Here is an 8,939-nt window from a genome sequence, read left to right as displayed (position 1 = left end):
TAGCCTAGAAGCATTAGGCTACAGCTTAGAGTCTAAGGTGTGTAGTAGGCTATACCGGCTAGGTTTGTGTAAGTACACACTATGATGCTCGCCAACAAAACTGCCGAAGGACACATTTCTCAGGATGTATCCCAGTCATTAAGCGACACATGACTGTATACCTATTTTTCCTAAATCTTGTAATAATCTTGTGTCACATGCATTGAGCTTACATGTTTGTTAAAAAGCATCAAGCTTTCAACACCAATACTTTGCACTTAGTGTAATCTATTTGTACTTGTTCCTGGCATTTTTCTTTTCATTATTTTTTCATTACTGAAGGAGCTTCACGAACTGGGTGTAGCCAGGCCCCTGGGGAGGCCGGGAGCCCAGGACAGCTCCACCCAGAACCTCTGGTCCTGGGAACAGACCCAGCCCGCCTGTGGAAGTCCCCGATCTCCTGCCGAACAGAGGGGAGCACGGGGCCTGTGCACCTGACGGCGGACACCCTCGCCAGGACTCGCCCCACAAAAGACGCCGGAAAGTGCCGCGGGAGAAGGGGGCTGCAGCCGGTGGGAGGGGAAACGCGGCCGCCCAAGAGCCCCGGGCCGGTCGCGCCGCCCTTGTCCCCGGAGTGAACTCTCCCTCTGTGCGCGCAGCTGATGGCGGGGCGCGCGGCCGCGGCCCCTCTTCTCCCTCCCTTTAAAGAGAAGGGCGCGATTGTGTGGATTTCACAGTCTGAGCACAGCTGAAAGGGAGAGAATTAAGTCTCCCTCACGGCTCTTTTCAAGGAGGCCGAGGCTGCGATTCGCCTTCATTCAGAATATATGAAGCTTTTGTGCGCCGGGGCCGGGCAGGCGCGGCGGCCCCGCTCCCCGGCTGACACTCTTTACAGTGGAAACGTACAGTAATTAACGCGGGTTCCGCTCCCGCCCGCGCCCCGAGTTGAAGGGGCCGCCGCCTCCGTGCGCCTGGGAACCAGCGCCCGCCCGAGGCCGCATTTGTGTACCTGAGAACGCGGCGGCGCATTTGTATCCGTGCCCTCGCCGCCCGAGACCCATCCATTTTGGCGCGGAGCTGCCGGGCTGTCAGGGTGCGCCGCGGCCCCCGCAAGTGTTGCTAATCAAAGCCGAGCCGGCTCCTCCGCCCCGGGAGCTCGCGGCGGGGGGCGCTGCCAGGGCGGGGTCGGGGGAGCCCGGGGGCCGGCCGAGGTGACCCGGTGGAGGCTTCGCCATCTCTGACTGCGGGGAGTCTGTGATTCGGAAGGGGGCAGGAGGGGTGCAGACAAAATACTTCAGCCTTCCTCCATGGGAATTGTTACCATGAGACTGAAATTTAATTTATTTTTATTTTTATGTTTTTGATTTAAAAGAGATGAAATCTGGCCCGTGTAGCTGGGGCCTGCCAATATTTTGGCTGTGCTTAGTTTTCAAGCTCTTTTTTTTTTTTTTTTTTTTTTTTGTCACTCTAGGTCGGATGATTCATGCTGGTAAGCATGTTGTATCATTTATGCAGTAATGCAGCCTAATAACTCCCTCCCCTTCAAATATGTTCCTTAAAGAGCCAGAAGAATTTGTTCCTGTAGACTCAAACCTATGTTCTTAATAAAGTCTGATTGAAGAAATAGAGCTCTGGAAAAAAAAAAAAAGAGAGAGAAAAGTGGGGGTGTGGGGGGCAACTTGGCAGCTTGCTGATGAAACGCCAACATGGCCCTTGTGCTCTTCCTTCTGTCTCTCCTGGTGGTGTTACAATGTGTGGCTTAACACAAAGTTTTGCATACAAAGTTAATTTTTAAAAACCATCCTTCTCTCAGGATCCGCACTAAAGGGATGCCAATGTTCTTATTTTGTGCTCCATAAGAAGGAAGGCAATTTACTAAACTGGTAATTACTGAACTCAGTGCCCCTGGTTCAGCGTCAGGTTGAGCAAGACATCCACTCTGGGCTGTTGAGGGTTTCAGAGTGGGAATCAGTGGTGGGTCACCTTATCACCCTGCAACGAGCCTCTGGAAGCAGGTACTTCCATCTCTGGGCAGAGCTCCACTTTCTTTGAGCAAGGTGGGAGCTAGTGACAAGCCCCCAAGGCTGACATGGCGGGCAGCTGCTGGACAAGATTCTTATTAAGGCAGCAAAGTGTGGTGTTCAAGCCCAAAGGCTCTGTCTGGGTTCAAGTGCTGCTGCTACCACTAACTTATATGTGGCCTTGGACACAGGAATCCCACCTACTGTATTTCGGTTTTCTCCTCTGTAAACTAGGGATAATGATATTCCTACCACTCCGGTTGTGGCCATCAAATGATGGAATACATGTGAGCTATTGATTGGTTCATTATTTCTAACAGTAACTGCAATTTATTGAACACTCAGTGTGTTAAATGCTTTACATAGATCACGTCTTTCCATCATCCCAATAACTGTACCAATGAATATTATTATCCCTACGTCACAGATAAGGAAACTGAGGCTCAGAGAGAAACAAACAGGTGAAGAAGCTTGCTCTGTTGCAGATTCTAAGGGCCAGGATGCAATTTCAAGTCTTACTGGGAGCTGAGAACAGGGGAGCAATGTGGCCAACAGTAAGATAAGAGGTGAAGGTTAAGATTAAGACTCCCAGCAGCTTGAGAAGCAAGGAACTTTGAACCCCTTTAAAAGGGGCCTCCAAGGTCGTGGAGCACAGCAGAATGGTTAAGAGACTGATCTCCAACATAAGAATAGTCCTGGGTTCAAATCTCATCTCCACTACTTACTAGTTGGGTGACCTCGAGCAACTTCCTTAACCTCATGGGAGCCTCAGACTCCTCATCTATTAAATGGGCATAATATTAGTCTTTGCCCCATGGAGTTGTCGTGGAGACTAAAGTGGAAAATGTTTGTCTCATTAGCGATTGTGACATGAACACAGTCTCCCCACTTTGATTTGAACGGTGCCAATGTTGGCCCACTGGTAGTAAATTCTTTCCCGCAGATTGGGTGTTTTAAATTCCACCACTAGAGGATTATTGTCTAGAATGGTACATTTTACAGATCAGTTTCACATCCCACCTCATTTAATCCTCCCCCTGAGGCTGGAAATCTAGTTACTGGCTGAGCAGGAAGTAGCTCCCCTCTTGTCCCAATTCTCCCCCCTCTTTTTCTCCAGAAGTCTCCTCTGAGCACTTGTCCTGACTAGACCATCTGCTAACACTGGCATGGCACTCTAAACTTGCCCTCCCTAGCACCTAACACCTCTCCCACTATGTGCTCCACTCCTGTCTTCCATGTCTGATTAGAGAGCCAGGAAGACAGGGACTATATCTACCCCATTCCTGTCTACAGGAAGCCCAGGACCAAGCAAGGAGCACCTCTAGTGCCCCGATGGCAGCCTCGAACTCCATTTCCCACTTAAAGGGACCAGCACTCATTTGGAGAAATGGTTGATCCCTTGTCTGGGGCAGGAAATATACAAGGTAGGCCTAGATCACCTTTTACCAGAAAGCAAAGGGGCTTTCGAAGATTATTGACGTTATATTAAAAACACGGGAGCCAACTTGGAAAAGCTTGTGTTGGACAACGAGGGGGGCATTTACTCATCAACAAGAAAATGACTGGAATGGATCGAAACACATAAAATATGTTTAAAGCCATGAACCCATTGTCCTTTGGAGAAGGCTGTAGAACCAACTCATTCTTTTGAGAAATGATAACTGAACAGAAAGGATCAACATTCCTCCTCTCTTTCACACACCGACTATCCCTCAGGGCAACCAAATTGTTGATGGAGAGAAGTTTTTCTTTATAGACCTATCAGGGCTAATAAAGGAGTGGAGAATGATAGAATTAGGATGTTGCTATTTCACAACCCCTAATGAAGAAATGGATCTAGGAATCGAATCGATCATCAACAACTTTAAACAACCAAAAGAGAGAAAACCAGCTATTAAGTGCCCTGTGATGGAAGAACATAATGCCATCCATAAAATCACGTTTCCAAAACCTTCATCTGATCAAGCTTCTAGATCTGACAATTTAGGAGGATTACAGGTGACAGAGGAAAATGCTAAATTATTTCTCAGGGATTCAGATTCCAGGAACACATACAGGCAAAAGTTCTAGTTTTATCAACACGTATATTGCAAGAAAAAAAGGAGAGGGAGAAGGAAACCCAACACATTAAAAGAAACTTTGAGACATCAACAGTTCCTAATGGACTTTCTTTCCATGCTAATTTCAATAATATGTAATTTTTTAAATTATAAGACGAACAAGGAAATTTAAATACTGCCTGCATGTTTAATGATATTAAGGAATTTTTGCTAATTTTTTGATGGGATAATGATAGTATGCTTACTTTTTTTACAATGTTTTTTTATTTTTTAGAGATAAATGCTAAAATGTTTATGAATTAAATCATATAACTTCTGAGATTTGCTTCAAAATAATCCTGGAAGAGAGAAGTGGGTGAGAGTGGTTTAGATGTAACAAGGTTAGACATAAATTGATCACTGGCAAAATGGGGTGATGGTAAGTAGGAGTTTTTAATATAATTCTCTCTCCTTTGTATATGTTCGAAATTTTCCATAATAAAAAATGAAGGAAAACAAACTTTTTAAGTATCAGTTTCTGTTCATTAGAAGAGACATTTGGGAGTCAACAAACGCTTATAAAAGGGGAGGCTCATACATTCCATGTAACTTATGGCTGATTTCACATAAATAAAGAACGTGTTCATTTGTGTTTATGAATTTCCTTGCACTGTTTCCTCTGCTAGAATGTGAGCTCCACAGTAGTAGCATCTGTGTTTTGTTGTTCCGTGTACCTGGCGCTGAGTAAGTGATCTGTAGATACTGAATGAATGAATCAGTGCTTCTCAAGTGGAAGGCCAGGGCTAATGTTTCCATTTTACAGATGAGAACACTGAGGCAGAGAGAGCTGATACTCTTGCCCGGGGTCAGATAGCTGGTTCATAGTGGGACTGGGACTCAAAGCCAGTGTCTCTGATGCTCCCCATTTAGAGTCTTTTACTCGGGGCATTGTAAGCTGGTGCGGGAAGCTAAGACTGGGCTTAAAGGTCCTGGCATTTATAAGCACGTACTTGCTGTTTACTGGCTGTCCTCTGTGACAAATGGAAATGATAGTGACAGTTCACATTTCTTGAGGTTGGCGTTTTACCACAATTAACTTCTTTCATGCTTACAAGCAACCCCATGAGATGGGTTCTGCTATTACCCCAGGAGACTGAGACACAGAGGATACACATGCTCTGGCTGGGCCCAGTGGCTCACACCTGTAATCCCAACACTTTGGGAGGCTGAGACAGGAGGATTGCTTGAGCCCAGAACTTCAAGACCAGCCTGGGCAACATAGGGAGACCCTGTCTCTACAATAAATACAAAAATTATTAATAGCTGAGTGTAGTGGTGTGCACCTATGGTCCCAGCTACTTGGGAGGGTGAGGTGGGGGGAACGCTTGAGCCTGAATGGTCGAGGCTGCAGTAAGCTACCACTGCACTCCAGCATGGGTATAGAGCAAGAGACAGTCTCAAAAAAAAAAAAAAAAAAAAATACACATGCTCTGACCCTACAGCTCAAACCCTTAGTCTCTTCGTTAGATCCTTACCCCCCTATATAAAAACCTTTGAAAAATAAAACTGTACTGTAGCATTCAACCAGGGGCTGGTGCTTCTCTTGAAGACAGCACGGCATGCTGGTCTGAAGTGTCACCTCAGAGGACAGGCACATGCAATGTCCATCTGACAGGAGCCATCGGTTAGTGGGTACTTCAGAACAACACTGCTCTCAACTCTCTCATTCTCCTAGTACAGGGAGTCAGAAATCCGGCAGTAAATCCCTACCCAGCCACACACTCCCTACATTGTTCTAGACAGGTCCCTTCCCCTATCTGGGCCTCAGTTTCTCCATTAAAACCAAGAAAGTTGGACTAGACAGATGTCCCCAAAGGACACCGCATGCTCTGACATCCTTTCATTCAGCACTGAAATTCTGTGATCCCACCAAGAGAGCCACTGGTGCGTCTGGATGTCTCCACATCAAGCAGTTGGAGGCTCATTTTTAACCCCTCATAGATGTCTCTTACAAATTATCCAGGGTCATGGATTAGTTTAAATACAAAAGCTTAATTTCCTCTGCTTGGCTACTGTTATAAGCAATGATCAAAAGGAGTCAAGGCACAAACACAGTTGGCTGGAGAGAGAATGCCGGGGATGCACTGGGGGCCGTTCCCTCCCTGCACCCCTCCGGGTTTGGAAATCTTTGGGGCCTGTAATTCACTGCAGCACTGAGCAGCGCTGAGATGAATCATAACATTTTGAGCCCTCAAAGAAAGGGAGAAGAAAGGGGACAGAGGCCAGGGAGAGGGGAGGCGCAGTGTTTTCTCAGTTAAATACATGTTTTCATTGCAGTGTGATGGGCTGAGAGCAATGAATGGCCATGATTTAGTTATCTTTTGGATGGATGATTTTAAATGCTTGTTGGAAACGGCTTTCATGAGACTGATTCTTAAAGCCGAGGCACAGAGTGGAAGTCTTTGGTAAGGGAGTGCTGCTGGTCTTTCAGAGGTCGTAAAAGCTCGGGGCTTTGAGATTCCTGGTGCATGCTTTCTGTTTCTAGGTTTTCAACTGGCACATGTTCACTTCCAGCCCGTAATCCTTCAGGCTGTCATCAGACACCTTGTTAGAAGCAAAGAGAAGAGAGCAGGGGAGGGAGGGAGGATGTGACGAAGAAAGGTATGACTGTAGAATTATTCTGGTCCATGCAGTGTTTATGTGGGGCCTGCTGTGGCTTGAATGTTTGTGTCTTCTCCAAAACTCAGGTTCGCTTAATCCCCAATGCAACACCTTCTGGAGGTGATTAGACTATGAGGGCTCTATCCTCATAGATGGGATCAGTGCCCTTATACAAGGGCCAAGGGAGTGAGTTCAGCCCCTTTTTGCTCTTCTGTCCTTCTGCCACGTGAGGACACAGTGTTCCTCCCCTCCAGAGGCTGCAGCGTCAAGGCACCATCTTGGAACCAGATAACAGCCCTCACCAGACACTGAACCTGGCCGGCCCCTTGATCTTGGACTTCTCAGCCTCCAGGACTAGGAGAAATCAATTTCCATTGTTTATAAATTACCCAGTATTTGATATTTTGTTATAGCAGCACAAATAGATTAAGACAGGATTTCTATGTGCCTAATACTGTGGTGGGCACTGGAGGACAGGAAAGGAGATTAATGAAGGATGACCAGTGCTGGATGAATTATTAAACCCAACACTCTGCCCGGCTGTTCTTGGGAAAAATGAGTCAGATTTGGAAGTCTTGCTCAGTCATACCTACTTGCCTCGAAATTCAGTAGTTTAGCCTTTTCTCCTGTGTTATCCCAAAAGCCACTAGAGAAAACAGCTAGTTTAACCTTCTGTTGGAGCCCCAGTCCCTGCCTGCAGTAAGACCCCATCAGCCCATCACTCCTGCTTGAAAACTTTTAAAGGCTACTCAACGCCCAAGGATCGGGACCAGAATCTTTCACACAAGGCAGCAAATTCCCCATGTAAAAGGACTTTCTTCAGGCCAGGCATCATGAGTCGTACCTGATACAATTTATCTCATTGTATTTTCACAGCAACTGTCTAAGTGCTGTTAGGATCCACCTGATGCATATGGAGAAATCAAGTTCCAGAGAGGTCAAGCAGTTTGCCCAAAGACAAGGTAGGTACAGCAAGGACTTCAACCCAAGAGCACTGACCTAGAGCCAATACCCTTGAACACTGGGCAATACCACCCTAGTTCATCTTTCCTGATGTTCCTAATAAGCCAATCCAATCACCTACACAGTTCGATAATATTCTATTCCATTTGTCTCTGTTCTCCTTCCCCACCTCCACCTGGAAAGGGATGTTTGTCCTTCAATAAATAGTTGGAAGTTCACCACCCCCACCAACCCTGAAAACTTAGGTTCTCCTTTCTCCCAACTCCCACAGCTCTGACGCTTCCTTTCGTGACTGTACTCCTCTGGGAGGTAACGTGTAATGCCCTGGCTCTTTCCCCAACAAACTGGAAGATTTTTTAGTATAAAACTCCAAGCAGTTTGCATAGTTTATAGGAGAAGATAGACATACATCATCAAATAAACATAAACTTTTTTTTGAGACAGGGTCTTTGTCTGTTGCCCATGCTGCAGTGCAGTGGCACAATCACTGCTCACTGTAGCCTTGACCTCCTGGAATCAAGTGACCCTCCTGCCTCAGCCTCCTAGGTAGCTAGAACTACAAACATGTGCCTCCACACCCAGCTAATTTTTAATTCTATTTATTTATTTATTTTTACAGACGAAATCTCACTATGTTGCCCAGGCTTGTCTTGAAATTCTGGGCTCAAATGATCCTCTTGCCTCAGCCTCCCAAGATGTTGGGATTACAAGCATTAGCTGCTGCACCTGACCTCCTTTTTTTTTTTTTAACTGGAAATCAGGAACTAAGACATTTGCACACCAATGTTCACAGCAACACTCTTCACAAAAACCAAAAGGTACAAACAACCCAAGTGTCCATCAATGGATGAAGACTGGATAAATGAAATGTGGTATATATGTACAATGAAATATTATGCAGCCACCAAAAGAAAGAAAGTTCTGATACATGCTACGGTATGGATGAACCTGAAAATATTATGCTGATATATAAACCTGATATTATGCTCTGTGAAATAAGTCAGACATGAAAGCATGAACACTGTATGATTCCACTTATATGAGGCACCCAGAGTCGTAAAATTTATACAGACAGAAGGTAGAAGGATGGTTGCCCGGGTCAGCAGTGAGGGGGATGGGGAGTTAGGGTTTAACAGGTGCACTTTGGGATGATGAAACAGTTCTAGAGATGGAGCATGTTGATGGTTGCAGAACACTGCAAATGGGAGGGAGGTGGGAGGGAGGGAGGGATGGAGAAAGGAAGGAAGGAAGGAAGGAAGGAAGGAAGGAAGGGGAA

At 45.9% G+C, this 8,939-nt stretch overlaps 1 non-coding gene across 1 annotated transcript; it reads right to left on the bottom strand.

The window, feature by feature from the left end:
• Positions 1–554: 554 nt before the first annotated feature.
• On the bottom strand, positions 555–608 carry MIR4634 (microRNA 4634). Its single transcript, NR_039777.1, has one exon. It is a non-coding gene; the product is annotated as a microRNA 4634 (primary transcript).
• Positions 609–8,939: the final 8,331 nt, after the last annotated feature.

Source organism: Homo sapiens, chromosome 5 (genome assembly GCF_000001405.40).
Source record: "Homo sapiens chromosome 5, GRCh38.p14 Primary Assembly".
NCBI classification, from domain to species: Eukaryota; Metazoa; Chordata; class Mammalia; order Primates; family Hominidae; genus Homo; species Homo sapiens.
The sequence above is the reverse complement of the archived record's forward strand: the minus strand, read 5'-3'. Positions and strand labels throughout refer to the sequence as shown.